The sequence below is a fragment of the Homo sapiens genome, chromosome 9 (genome assembly GCF_000001405.40).
Source record: "Homo sapiens chromosome 9, GRCh38.p14 Primary Assembly".
Lineage (NCBI taxonomy): Eukaryota > Metazoa > Chordata > Mammalia > Primates > Hominidae > Homo > Homo sapiens.
In genome coordinates this window covers 125,497,748-125,512,705 of record NC_000009.12, presented here as the reverse complement: position 1 = coordinate 125,512,705, position 14,958 = coordinate 125,497,748, and the positions used below count along the sequence as shown (strand labels likewise).

At 39.7% G+C, this 14,958-nt stretch overlaps 1 protein-coding gene across 5 annotated transcripts in view, besides 3 other annotated features; it reads left to right on the top strand.

Annotated features, from left to right (window-relative positions):
- MAPKAP1 (MAPK associated protein 1) overlaps positions 1 to 14,958 on the top strand; it is a 269,815-nt gene that overhangs the window by 194,503 nt on the left and 60,354 nt on the right. For 4 of the 5 annotated variants that reach the window (NM_001006621.2, NM_001006620.2, NM_001006619.2 and 1 more), the window contains one exon: positions 6,289 to 6,396. The exons of the other annotated variant lie outside the window; for it this stretch is intronic. In NM_001006621.2, the coding sequence (NP_001006622.1) occupies positions 6,289 to 6,396 (108 nt within the window). The remainder of the gene's footprint in view (positions 1 to 6,288; positions 6,397 to 14,958) is intronic. 5 annotated transcript variants of the gene reach the window in all.
- Positions 6,162 to 6,456: a silencer, noted in NCBI's record as "tiled region #1305; K562 Repressive non-DNase unmatched - State 23:Low". NCBI's record gives its function as "represses a minimal TATA promoter and a strong SV40 promoter by Sharpr-MPRA in K562 cells {active_cell/tissue: K562}" and the evidence as "EXISTENCE:reporter gene assay evidence [ECO:0000049][PMID:27701403]".
- Positions 7,832 to 7,891: an enhancer, noted in NCBI's record as "active region_29005". NCBI's record gives its function as "activates an Ori minimal core promoter by ATAC-STARR-seq in GM12878 lymphoblastoid cells {active_cell/tissue: GM12878}" and the evidence as "EXISTENCE:reporter gene assay evidence [ECO:0000049][PMID:35858748]".
- Positions 7,932 to 7,991: an enhancer, noted in NCBI's record as "active region_29004". NCBI's record gives its function as "activates an Ori minimal core promoter by ATAC-STARR-seq in GM12878 lymphoblastoid cells {active_cell/tissue: GM12878}" and the evidence as "EXISTENCE:reporter gene assay evidence [ECO:0000049][PMID:35858748]".

Genomic DNA, 14,958 nt, shown 5'->3' with positions numbered 1-14,958 from the left:
GGAGGCTGAGGCAGGAGAATAGCGTGAACCCGGGAGGCGGAGCTTGCAGTGAGCCGAGATTGCGCCACTGCACTCCAACCTGGGCGACAGAGCAAGACTCCATCTCAAAAGAAACAAAAAAAAAATATGTATACATACGAACCAATAAACTACGTGAGAGGAAAAGAAACATAAAGATTAAACGACAAGTTTACGAGTCCCCAGGAGGAGGAGCTGGCAGAGAAATGCATGTCCAGGTCATCATAGTCACACGAACATTTAGTGCTGAGCTTCCTGATGGGCAAAGGAGAAAGGGACATGATAGGAGCTAGTTACAAGATTTATGTTAAACTTTCTAAAGATACAAAAGCAAGCCCTTTGCTCCAGGGAAGTACAGCTTTTCCTGATACCAGGATCTGAAAGAAGTTTCTCCCACGGGTCTCTAGAAAGAAGACACAGAGCAATGGAGGCGACAGTGTGTCTTCCCTCTCTTCGGACTTTGGCAGGCACTTGCTTTCCATTGGATTTCAGCTTTCAGCTAGCTAGCAGCTGTTAAAGAATTGCATGCTAAAACCTTTTATGTTTCAGTTAGGGGTTAAAGGGATCGAGGAAGCTGCTCTGAGCATGTAGCCACCAACCAACAGATTCTGCAGATTTTCTTTGAAACTTATGTGCTGAGATGTTTGCCTCGGGTTTACAAAATCCCATAAAAATCCTGCCTGGGTATTATAACTTGGAACCCTCCCAAAGTGCCCAAAGCAATATTTTGTTCCTAGGCCATTCGGTGACATGGTATTACTGCAATAAATACATCATTGGAATGCCCAAGCAGGTTTTCCCGTCGCTGCAGAGTAACTGCTTCCCAGAATCTTCCTTTTGTGTTCCTCTCTGCTGTGAAATGGAGGGTATGCGGCTTCATGCGCAGCTGTGACTTTTTAAATCCTCTTTCCAAAGTGTGGATGTTGCCTTGAGAACCTTGTCCTGTTCAGTGTGAAAGAGCCCTTTATATTTTATATAATCATTTCTTTGGCAAAAAGTATATTCATAGAAATTGACCTCACAGTTTGTCTTTTTGAAATGGCTTTTGGATGCTATTTTTATTTTCCTCCCATGTCAGCCTCCTAAAAATTAAACAAGTATTTGATGGAGACTGTACTTTGATATAGGTCTGGGTTATCATAATCTTCACTGTCAACAGGCATTTATTAAGAACTTTGTGTGAGTGAGATGCTGTGGTTCATAATGCAATATAGAGAGTGCAGGCCTGGGCAGTCCTAGGTATGAATTCTCTCACTTCTACTAGTTCCTGAGGGACACTGAGCAAGTTATTTAACCTCTATAAATCACAGTTTCTCCTCTCTTAAGTGGGTTTATAAACTCTTTACATCTTAGGGTGACCAAAGAGTGAATGAGATGATCTGTACATAAAAGACCTAGCACAGCACTTGTCACATAGTAGGGCCTGTGATGGTGGTAGTTAGATTGTCCATGCTGTTAGGATCACTTAGTATTATTACAGTCTGATGATGATGATGATGATGATGATGATGATGATGATGATGGTGATGATGATAGCTGATACTTAAATCACACTATTAATGCATTGGACATTGTTCCAACTGCCTTACAACTATTAGTTCGTTGAAACTTTAGACAATCCTGTGAGGTAGGTGCTATTATTATCCCCTGTTTTATAAAGAAGAAAACTGAGAGGTTAAGTTGGCCCAAAGTCATACAGCAAAATTGCTTGGCCAGGACTTAGGCCAAGGCAATTGGGCCCCAAGTTTATGCCCTTAACCACCTGGCTATATTGCCTCTCGTATATACCCTGCCTCTCATTACACAGTAAGACCTGAAATTATCATCCTGGCCTTTTTGGAGGGAAAATGTGTAAAATACTATAATCTTTCTCTGTGAAATATCCACTATTCAGGTGAGGATTATGGAGAGAAATGCAGATTTATAAAAAGCAGTTTTCCATTTGGATTTAGATATCGAGTTTCATATGCAGCTTAACCACCCTGCCTTCCCCCAGGTTGTTACCCATTGGTCCCTTGCTAAGTTCAGAAGTGGGTTTCCAAGTTGTTCTTCAGCTTTGATGGATGAGCAGGGAGTACCCAGGGCAGAAAACACACGGATTTTCAGTTACTGACTAAACTGAGCGTAGAATATTAGCAGTATTCCTAAGGAAAGATGGATGGGCCTTCCTGGATGGATAGAAAGACAAGGTGATCATGTCTGGTCATGTCTTCGTAAGAGGGAATGGTACTACCATGGACTCAGAAGGCAGCCAGAGCATGAAATACTTGGTATGTGTGGGTTTGTTGGAATAAATAGTTTCAGATCATTTTCATTTTGAATTTATAGAAGTTAAGTGATTCAGATTCTAGATGAATCCACAAATCTACAGAAACCTTTATTTATGGTATAAACTATGGCCTTTTTATAATTGGCCAGTAATTTGTAGTTTGCAGGAGGAAGGAGGGTTCAAGGCAGACTAGCTTTAGAGCCAGAAGACCCCCATGGGTTTCATTTTTCCCCCTTCCTACTTTTTACCTTTGTGATCTTGGGCAAGTTACTTCACCAGCATCCCAATCTGTAAACTGGGGCTAATATATCTGCCTCTGGGGGTTACTGTGAGGATTCAATAAGGTAAGGTATATAGCATGCTTGGCACATAATAAGCATGTATTAAAGTCATCAACATGCTAGGCTTCATAGGACAAAGTCCAAGAAGCTACTTTCAGAAAACTAATTTTAATAGAAATATCTGCAAGATCCAAGAAATAAAATGAATGTCAGATGATGGCATTTATGGCTTTGAGAGTGGGGCAGGGAGTTGTCTTCAGGGATAAGGGATCCTTCCTGGTACTCCCTGACTCCCCTGTTTTCCCTGATCCACGTTTCCCAGGCAGCTGCAAAGACTGGTAGGAAAAAATGTGCAAAGGAGACCGGCCTGAAATTCCTCCTGATGCAGCCAGGCCTTAGTTCCCAGTAATCAGGAAAGTGGTAGCTTATATATAATCCAGCTGTCAGGTAGCCTGACAGCTTGAGAAGCCCGACAGTCTGTGCACTGCTCTCAGAGTACACATGCCAGGGTGCACGGTTGCTTCACATGAAAATATGTCTACATAAACAGATCGTGTCTGCTTTTGATTAAATTACTGCATGTGAATGACCCATTGGAGATGCCACAATGTGTGCTAATTATAGTAGCCTCAAAAAGATGTCATAGTAAGAAATTGGAGAACTTTTAAGTTTATCTGGTGTTTTTAAATTACAAAAGTGGCCTTCATTTATTATAGCAAATTTGAAAAATACAAAAAAACACAAAGCAAAAATAAAAACAATTATTAATTCCACTATCAATTATAACTACTATTCACATTTTAGGAATAACCTCCTAGTCTTTTTTCCTCTATTCCTTTACATATTTTTTGCTTAGATTTACCTTTTTAAAATTCATACATAATGTTTATATATATCTGTGGAGTACACGTGATATTTTGTTACATTCATAGAATGTGTAATGATCAAGTCAGGGTATTTGGGTACCACCTGGGGTATTTATCATTTCTATACACTGGGAACATTTCATGTCCACTATTCTAGCTTGTTTTGAAATATATAGTACATTGTTGGTAACTATAGTCACTCCACTCTGCTATTATATTTTAAAAATTATAATTTGTATTTTTATAATTATAATTTAAAATGTGCTGTAATTTGCTGCTTTCATAAAGTAGCATATTATAAACATGTTTTATAAAATTAAATATTTTTGTAGCATCACATTTAATATTTTTATGGTATTTCATAATATTTTATTTAATCAGTCCCCGTATTAGACCTAGGTTGTTCCTAAATTTGGGCTATTATTTTTAAAAATTTTTTTGGAGATAGGTTCTAGTGCAGTGGCACAGTCATAGCTCATTGCAGCCTCAAACCCCTGGGCTCAGGAGATCCACCTCAGCCTCCCCAGTAGCTGGGACTACAGGCATGCACCACCACACCCAGCTAATTTAAAAAAATTTTTTTGTAGAGATGAAGGCTCACTGTGTTTCCCAGGCTGGCCTCAAACTCCTGGCCTCAAGTGATCCTCCTGCCTTGGCTCCCCCAAAGCGCTGGGATAACAGATGTGAGCCACCATACTCAGCCTGGGAAATGAATTATTACAGCTAAACTTTATACCCAGATTTCACTGTAAATTTATAGAAGTGGATGTCAGTTGCTTCTGCACACTGTGTTGCTGGGAGATTTTGGAGATAGGAACAGTCAGAGATTGTTTAATAGGCCATTATCTTAGAAAGCAGCCCTCCAGGTTCAGGGGTAACTCCCTTTCCTCTGCTAGACTAAAGGGGCCCACAGCTGTTTTCTTAAGGTTCAGCTTTCTGAGATTCCTTCTACCCAGTATTACGTGCCAGCATCCACTGATCAATACCAGATGCACCTATTAATTGAAAATTGTTGGCATGGACAGGTGATAGGTAGTAGAGACTACAAGAATTACCTGCATTTCCTTCCATACTTTGATTTACTTAACACTTTTTTTTTCCCAAGAGACACAGGGATTCTCTCTGTTGCCCAGGCTGGAGTACAGTGGCATGATCATAGCTCACTGGAGCCTCCAGCTCCTGGGCTCAAGCAATCCCCCCGCCTCAGCCTCCCGAGTAGCTGGGACTACAGGTGCGCACCACCATGCCTGGCTAATTTAAATTTTTATTGTTGTTGTTGTTACTGTGTGGCCCAGGCTGGTCTCGAACTCCTGGGTTCAATTGGTCCCCCCGAAGTGCTGGGATTTGGGAGAATCGCTAAGGGGGCTACCATGCCTGGCCTTATTTAACACTTTTGAAATTAGAATTTTAAAAAAAAATGAATTTACTACCAATAATTTTAAAACACAATACCTTTTTGATATAAATATAGTGTATTAGAGTTTAAAAGAACTGTGTAGGCTTCTGAGCATATGCTTAAATAGTTGTATATGTTTTAAGCATTTGTTTACTTACAAAGGTTTAAAAGCTTTATTTAAGTAGTGTAAAAAGGACTGAATGTATGTAAGAATTCAGAATAGGCAGAAGTGCTAATGAAATACCAGTTAGAGAAAAGATCAAATATACCCTGAAACTGAAATGAATCTCTACAGTGCTACAGCTGAACATAGAACATGGGAAGGAGAATGACTGGAAATGAGTGAAATGCCTCATGCTGATGATAGAGAAGCACTAGATGTGATTAATCCACAAGTTGACAGCAGCTGAAGAACATATCTAAAAATACGTGTTCCGCCTGGGAGCCCTGCACGGCCTCTGATGCTTCCCTCAGCTCTCTCACCTCTCCTTCTGTCTGACCAAACACGCCTTTCAGAGTCAAAATAATAAGACAGTTTCTTATGCCTCTAATCCTTTCAATAACCATTAACAGATCACAGGAGCAGTCTTTTGAATCTGATCATTGGACCCGTTATGTGTTATCTGAGAAGAACAAGATTGTCATTTGGGTTGACAAAGAAATACATGAATAAATGTATAAAATGCTGCAGTGTTTTATTAAGGTCTGCCAGAAGAACCCTCTATGTGATGCAGGGTAGCTAGTATTCCTGGCTTCCAGTACTACTGAACCTGTGTCTCGTGTTTTCATAAATGTTTCAACAAAAATGTGAATCGGTAGCCACTGTCTTTTCATCATCGTAACTCAGAAATCTGAGATTTTTTTAATTTAAAAACTTTTTCCACATATGAATGCCAGGTCATCTGAGCTTTATTTATTTAAGCTTACCTGTTTACAATTTGTTTTGAATTTTTTGGACTGTTATTATATTAGAGTTCTACACATATCTTATTCCTGATTGTAATTTATTGTTACATAATTATTAATAAATACCTTTGCCTCCTGTGAGGCAGGTACATTTCTAATAAGCATTTTTCCTACATCACCTCTGATCCTTACAACAATCTTTCAAGGTATAACTATTCCTACATTACATATTAGGAAACGGAGGTTCAGAGAGGGTAGGTGACCTGCTCATATCTGAGAAGTGGCGTAGTCACTCTGACTCAAAGGCCATTTACCTCTTACTTGGTTTCGGGGAGAACTGAGTGGCAACAGACTTGATAATAGAACAGTGAAGAATGTGAAGCCTTATGCAAAAGAAACCCCAAACTTCCATCCTGGATAGCTAGACCCTCAAGACAGACTTTAACACTTTACTAAGGCTTTATCAGCTTTTCACCAGTATGTGGTGTTTTTTAAATGTTAAATTCGCTGTTTCAGACTTCCTCCCCTCCTCCTGCCCCTTTGATCTTCCAGGCCCTCAGTACCGCCTGGAGAAGCAGAGCGAGCCCAATGTCGCCGTTGACCTGGACAGCACTTTGGAGAGCCAGAGCGCATGGGAGTTCTGCCTGGTCCGCGAGAACAGTACGTTGGCCGCCTCGCTCCATGCCCGCTTTGTCCGTTGCAAACTTGCTTAGAAGTCATGTGTTTGGAAACGCTCACTGGTCTGGTTTCCCTAGGCAGATTTGAAGTGACTGTTTTCCAAGGCAGACTGCAGTCTTCGTGCCAAAGTATATCCCAAAGTGAAATGATTGATTTTGTGCTTTTTGGTAGAGAGGCTGCATCCTGTTTAGCACTCTGTGATTAATATTTTCCTGTTAAACTGTCTTCCTAAGTTGGGAGCATCCCTGGAAACAGCTTAGAAGCATGAGGCCTTTTCTGAAGTAAAGGCTATTTTGTATATAAAGCAGCTGGCCCTGTCAGTATCACTATTCAGACATCAGGTTTTAGAAAATTTTAACCATTTGCATATTCTAGCAGGAGGCAGTGTAGTGATTCCTTATGCTATGTTGAGAACTTCAAAACTTGTTAACTTTGTTCATTCTCTCTTCAGAGTTTCCAAATTGTGCATTTTGCCATCCTCTCCTCCATACTCCCACTGACACAAGGGCAAGTGATGTGTGAAACTGCGCTTGCGGCAGCAGACTGTCTGTAGTCATTCCTGCTTCGAGGCTTTTACACAGGCTATTTCTTCCACCTGGAATGCTCCTTCCCCCATTCTGGTTAATAACTCTTTCTCATTCTTTGTCTCAGTTTAAATGTCCTGTCTTCAGAAAGGCCACCAGGATCTTCCTGTCCCCCATTGCTTAAACCTGATCCACCTCTCGTTTGAGTCCCTCGTTATATTCTGCCATACCGCATACTACTTTTTCTCCGTCGCGTGTGTTTCTATCTATTCATTTATTTATTATTTTTTAGAGATGGAGTCTTGCTGCATTGGCCAGGCTGGTCTCAAACTCTTTTTTTTTTGAGACGGAGTCTCGCTCTGTCACCCAGGCTGGAGTGCAGTGGTGCAATCTCAGCTCACTGCAACCTCCACCTCCCAGGTTCAAGCGATTCTCCTGCCTCAGCCTCCCGAGTAGCTGGGACTATAGGCACATGCTGCCATGTCCGGCTAATTTTTTGTATTTTTAGTAGAGACTGGGTTTCACCGTTTCTATGGTCTCTATCTCCTGACGTGGTGATCCGCCCGCCTCAGCCTCCCAAAGTGCTGGGATTACAGGCGTGAGCCACCGCGCCCGGCGGTTCAAACTCTTGGTCTCAAGCAATCCTTCTACCTTGGCTTCCCAAAATGTTGGGATTATAGATGTGAGCCACTGCAGCCAGCCTGTATTTAGAATTACATACTTTTCTCAGTGATTGTTTAATATCTCTCTTCCCTGCTAGATTATCAGGTCTGTGAGGATGACCCTGGCCCATACCAAGTTGCCCTTCATATAGATCTGCTGTAGACTATGTGCTACAGGATCTCAGTAAATATAGATTGAATGAGTGAATGAATGGTAGATCTTTACTCATGCCACTGACCCTCTAAACAAGATCAGGCTGCTACTCTTTGGATGTTTTTGGTTTTGGTTTTGGTTTGGTTTTGGGGTTTTTTTGAGACAGAGTCTTGCTCTGTCACCCAGGCTGGAGTTCGGTAGTGTGATCTAGGCTCACTGCAACCTACACTTTCTGGGTTCAAGCAATTCTCATGTGTCAGCCTCCCAAGTAACTGGGATTACAGGCATGCACCACCACCCCTGGCTAATTTTTATTTTTATTTTTATTTTTTATTTTTAGTAGAGGTGGAGTTTTGCTATGTTGGCCAGACTGCTCTTGAACTCCTGGCCTCAAGTGATCCATCCATCTTGGCCTCCCAAAGTGCTGGGATTACAGGTGTGAACCACCACACCGGCCTAGGATGCTACTCTTTGACTAGGGCCCCAGACAGCCTCTTCCGCCGAGCATGCACAAAATTCACCAGGAAGGTGAAATATGCTTTTGGCATTTGGTAGCAAATTCTCAAAGGCAGAAGGTTACTGTCCCCACAGTCTGCAACCAGTTATAAGTACCTTTTGTGAATACACATAGAAATAAAAATCACTGATTCCCAAATGGTCCAAAAAATCAAATGAGTAGTAAACATTTGTGAAAATATTTATCCTTATCAACATTGTAAAATACAAACATTTTAGAGCCACATATAAAATAAGCCAGGTGTTTCAAAGGGAGTCCTCATTGCTGGAGAGAATATGGAGAAATAGGCATACTCAAACATTGGGGTCTGTAGTATAACAGTATAATATAGCTGTAAATATCGAAAGACCTAAAAATGTTTTCTCCAGTAAATCTGTTTTTGGAAATTATCTTAAGGAGGCTGGGCAGGGTGGCTCTTGCCTGTAATCCCAGCACTTTGGGAGGCTGAGGTGAGTGGTTTACCTGAGGTCAGGAGTTCGAGACCAGCCTGGCCAACATGGCAAACCCCCGTCTCTACCAAAAATACAAAAAAAAAAAAAAAAAAAAAAAAAAAAGCCAAGCGTGGTGGCGGGTGCCTATAATCCCAGCTACTCGGGAGGCTGAGGCACGAGAATCGCTTGGGCCTGAGAGGCAGAGGTTGCAGTGAGCTCAGATCGTGCCACTGCACTCCAGCCTGGGTGACAGAGTGAGATTCCGTCTCAAAAAAAAAAGAAAGAAAGAAAAAAGAAATTATCTTAAAGAGAAAAGGATCTAAAATGCAAGAAAGATTTATGTACAGTGTTTTAACAACATTATTTCTAATATTTAACATTGGAAGAGTAGTCAGATAACTTATATCCCTATATTGGAAAATTATGCAGGGTTTTACCTTTCTAGTAAAGGCAGACTAAGTAATTTGAACCAACTCTTCCACTGAAGGTAACTTAAAAAGCTGATTAAACAAATGGTCATCCTAAAGTCATCAAAGAGCACAAGATAGAAAAGAATCAATGGCCATGTCTGGGAAAAGGTTGAAACAAAAGAGATCAACGCCTACGAGCGCTTTTGCCCGGACATTATCTGCCTGTCTGGCAGTGCAGCCTAAAGGTTGAGCTGGGTTGTGGATAGCCTTTAGAGGAAAGGAGACAAAAGAAGTCCAGGGTTTGCCAGGGGTAGAAAGCCCAAAAGGAGGTTAAATAGAAAACATGTAGTAAGATAATAGATTTAAACCCAGATATATCAGTAAATGAACTAAAGGCTTTAGTAGTAGTAGTTGTTGTCATCTGTAAGATGGTTAGGATGGGTTTTTCTCAAATACCTAAAACAAGGGTACTGAAAGTTTGAAGTAAAAGGATGGAGAAAGATGTTCTATGCAAATAGCAACTGAAATCTGGTGTAGCCATATTAACATGAGGCAGAATACGTTTTTAGATATAAAAACCATTACTTCATAATGATGAAAGGTTCAGTTTACTTGGAAGATTTAACAGTTCTAAACCTATATGCTCAAAATATATAATACAAAACTGAAGAATTACTAAGAAAAATATACAGGTCTCCAATCATGGAGGGAGGTTTTAACTCTCAGTAATTGAAACAGCAAATACATTTTTTAAAAATGTATAATAGAGAAAACTTAAAACAACAGTTAAACTTAACCTCATGGACAGGCGGTACAGAGAATATTTTACCCTACAACTGCAGATACGTATTTCTTGCAATCACACATGAACATTTACCAATATTGACCATATGCTAAGCAATAAAGTAAATCTTACATATCAAAAGATTGAAATCATATGTGATACATCCTCTGATCACAGTGAAATTAGGCTAGGAAAAAACAAGACAACTAGAAGATCTGCATATGTTTGGAAATTGAGAAACAGGTTTCTGAACCCATGGTTTAATAAAGAAATAATAATAGAAATTAGAAAGTATTTTGACTGAAAGATAATGAAAATTTGACATTAAAATTTGAGGATATAACTAAAATGGTATTTGAAGGAAGTTTTACAGCCCTCTAATTCAAATATCACAAAAGAAGAAAGGCTGAGCAGGGCACGGTGGCTCACGCCTGTAATCCCAGCACTTTGGGAGGCCGAGCCGGTGGATCACCTGAGGTCAGGAGTTCGAGACCAGCCTGGCCAAAATGGTGAAACCCCATCTCTACTAAAAATTTAAAAATTAGCCAGGCATGGTGGTAAGTGCCTGTAATCCCAGCTGCTAGGGGGGCTGAGGCAGGGGGATCGCTTGAACCTGGGAGGTGGAGGTTGCAGTGAGCTGAGATCATGCCACTACACTCCAGCCTGGGCAACAGAGTGAGACTCTGTCTCAAACAGAAAAAAAAAAAAGAAGAAGAAAGGCTGAATAGTAATGAGCTAAGCATTCAGCTCAAGAAATTGAAAAATAGAAAAACCTGAAACGAATAAAAGAAGCAATAAAGAGAAGAATAGAAATTAATGAAATAGAAATTCAGAAACATCAGAATCAAGAGTTGGTTCTTTGAAAAGGCCAACAAAATCGATACACTTCCAATGAAATGGACAAAAACAAGGAAGAGAAACACAGATAGTAGTAGGAATGAAAAGGAGGTACACTGTAGATCCTGTCATTAAACATTAAGATCCTGTCTTGTAAATAAATACAAGATTATTTTGAAAAAAATTATACCAAAAATATTAAAATTATAGATGAACAAATTTATAGAAAAAGACAACAAAATTGACACAGGAAGAAATAGAAAACCTGAATATTCTCATAACTATTTTGAAAAGCTAATTAGTAATTAGGAACCTTCCTACAAAGAAAATCCAAACCCACATGACTTCACTGGCTAGTTTCTACCAAAAACTTAAGAAAAAAATAACTCCAATCCTATATCCACTGTTGCAGAGAATAGAAAAAGGTTATAACCTCCAATTTGTTTTAAGAGGCTATCATAATCTTGGTACCAAACTCAGTAAAGACCATACAAGACAGAAAATTTTCAGGCCAGTTTGAAAAATATAGATGCAAAAATCCTAAACAAAATATTAATAAAGTGAATCTAACATTATGTTGAAAGAACAATATAACATTACGAAGTTGGGTTTATTCTAGCAGTGCACATTTGGTTTAACTGTGATGTAATGTTAAGGGAAAAAATGTCAAGACAAATAGATGAATCCCAACTATGTAAAAACAAACAAAAAGTAAAACTGGAAAGAAAATGTTAATAGTGGTTGTCTCTGGTTGACAAGATTCTGGGTAATTCATTTTCCTTCGTGTTTATATTTGTTCGTTCCAGAGTTTCTAAGGTGAGCATGCATGACTTTCTAAGAAGGAAAAGCAAACAAGAAATAAGGGCAAGTCTACATAGATAAAGATCGTATAGTGAGACAATGTCTTAGTGTAACAATCCTTGTGACATTTGAAATTTCATACCATATCTAGTACCATACCATAGTGAGCCAAAGGAAAAGTTACACCAATACACTCCTATGTGACTTGCTTATCGGAATTTTTACCCCGTAGAAATGAACAATCCCTCCCTCCGCCCCTGTCATTTTTTTTCATTCTTTAAAGTCTGTCATCTTAAACATACTTGAGGAACTAATTCATAGGTAGGAACTTTATAGTGGATTCTGTTTCAAAATGTTGATTCCTTGTTATACAAATAAAGTGGTGTTTATTAGAATCTTGGTAAATTTCTTGGATATGTAATACTTATACATGTAAAAAAAATTTCAGGTAACTAAAGTGTCTGTAGTGAAAATGAAGTCTCTCTTCTTCCATCCCCTAATTCCCCTTCCAGAGACAATAATTGTTCCTGGTTTCTTCCATATCTTTCCAGGGATCATCTATGTATATGCAAGCACATTTTGTATATGCATGTATGTATCATAGGTGTGTGTACACACAAGCACACTCATACCTATACACACACATTTGTATTCCTCCCTTTTTTAAAAACACAAATGGGGGCCGGCGTGATGGCTCATGCCTGTAATCCCAGCACTTTGGGAGGCCAAGGTGGGTGGATCACGAGGTCAGGAGATCGAGACCATCCTGGCTAACACGGTGAAACCCCATCTCTACTAAAAATACAAAAAAAAAAAAAAAGCCAGGGATGGTGGCAGGCACCTGTAGTCCCAGCTACTCGGGAGGCTGAGGCAGGAGAATGGCGTGAACCCGGGAGGCAGAGCTTGCAGTGAGCCAAGATCACGCCACTGCACTCCATCCTGGGTGACAGAGTGAGACTCCAGCCTGGGCCACAGAGCGAGACTCCATCTCAAAAAATAAAAATAAAAACACAAATGATAACAAACATTAGTGTTCTGCATTTTTATCATTTTAACAGTATATTATAGAGATTCTTCCACATTAATACTCATATTGTTCCACATATAAATTCACCAATTTCTTTTTAACTACTATGCAGTATTCCACAGTATATTGTGCTTTCAAATTAATTTTTTTGTTTGTTTTTGAAAGAGTCTCATTCTGTCACCCAGGCTGGAGTGCAGTGGTGAGATCACAGCTCACTGCAGCCTTGACCTCCCTGGCTCAAGCAGTTCTCCCACCTAAGCCTCCCAAGTAGCCATGATTACGGGCACACACTACCACACCTGGCTAGTTTTTTTTTAATTTTCTTTTTGTAGAGATGGTGTCTTGCTATGTTGCCCAGGCTTGCTTCTGCCTCCCATAATACTGGGATTACCGGAGTGAACCACTAAACCCAGCCACAAATTAGTTTTTCTGAAAAAAGATAAGCCCAGTTTTCTAATATTAGGAAAGAGAAGCTGTGAGGGTTGGTGAATAAAGCCTTGAAATCTGGGCTCTAGTTCCCACTCTACTTCCGAACATGAACATGGTCTTAATTCAGTTATGTGATCTCTCTGAGCCTCAGCATCCTCATCTTAAAGGATTTGCAAGATACTTCCCATCACTTTTTGACGCTCTGAGTCAAAATCACTGTGTTAATAAATGAAGCCCTACCAGCACTTACAAAGATCACAATCAATGGAATCATAACTAGTCTTTGTAAAATGGAAGTAAATTATGAAAACAATTTATTATTTTAAAGGCTTTTAAAAGGATTTTTTAAGTAGGAATTCCAACTAAGAATTACATTGTTTTCCACTAGCTGCCTATTAAGAAGGTGGATTGAGGCAAAGAAAAACATTCCAAAAGCAGAATTATTTTCATTTCTGTTACTATGTTTGATTAGAACAGCCTCCCTATCCTTAAAGCCATTGTAGATGTGGACTAAATTCTGATCATGTATTACGCAGTCCTTAAAGAGAATGTGCTGTCAATGAACTGTCTCAGTTCACATCCTGGCCTTGCCACTTACTAGCTGTGTGACCTTGGGCCATTTACTTAACCTTTCTTGGGTAGTTTATCTGCCCTCATAAGATTGATAGGATTCAGTAAGCTCTAATAATCATACAGCTCGTAGAACAGCACATAATAAGTACTCAATAAATGTTAACTGTAATTAATAAATAATGGAAAAGCAGCATTCTGTGGCTGGTAGAGCAGATGGGGCACAGGTGTCGAGGTTTGGAGTCATAGACCTGGCAGAGCCCTCGAGGAGATGTATGTTGGCTAGAAGGGGGTGACCCAGAATGGAAAGGGAAGGAGAGTGGGGAGGGGGCAGGTCTGTAAGTCTGTGTCCTAGGACCAGAGAACTTAGAAGCAGCGTACCTCCCAGCAAATATTTTTTGGTGTCCCAGAATGGATATACGCTTTATAAATAAAACCATTTGTTTGAGAAGTCTGTTTGCCATAAGGGTGGATAGAAGCCTTTCAGTTTTTCTTTCAAGGAGGAATGTGGCATAATATTTTATATCAACCACGTCAATGAATGTTTTTTGTTATTTCTTTTTTATTTATTTATTTTTCTTTCCATCATACCTAGTCCTGCAGAAAAGGGTGTTTTTAAAAATTACGTATTTGGGCCTACTATTGTAAGGCATTGTGCTAGACATTTTGCAAATGCTTTATCTTTCAATTTTCATGGCTACCCTACAAGATATTGTTCTCATTGTGAAGAGAGGTTGTGACTTGCTCGAAGTTATCCAGCCAGTAAGTGATAAGACCAAAATTTTAAGTCAGATGTCTGATTCCAGAGTCGACCCTGAGATTGTTGATAAAACAACCTGAATTTTCAGTCCTAAGAATGGCTATTACAATTGTCTTTATATGCTATGAGAGAGAAGCTTACAGATGAAGCAGATATGACAAGAGTTTCTGCCTAGGTACTGAGAGCTAACATTTGTGCTTGGATCTTGGCCTAAATAAGAAAATGACAAGCCAAAGTCCTTGAGCTTTCCAGTTTGGATTCTTGTCGGATAATCTACTACATCCTTCAGCCAAATGCCTGCTAGAAGCTGGAATCATACCAGAAGGAAGCCCAAGTACATTATGGGGAGGATGTAACATTACAAGACTTCCATTCTTGTCCAAGCTTCTATATACATCCTGGCACCAAACTGAGCCTCAATTCCCTTGTCTGCCAAATGTTGCCAGTGACCTTTCCCACCAACCATGTGGAGGTAGTCCATGCAGGTCCTTAGAAGAAAGGTGCCGCTTGAACCAACTTATTCTTTCCACAGCTTTAAGAGAGAAAGTGGAATTTCCCATCATCAGGGCCAATATAAGCCTGAAATTAAACTGGCTTTATGGAATACTAACAAAGTGTCAGACACCATCTTTCTGTTT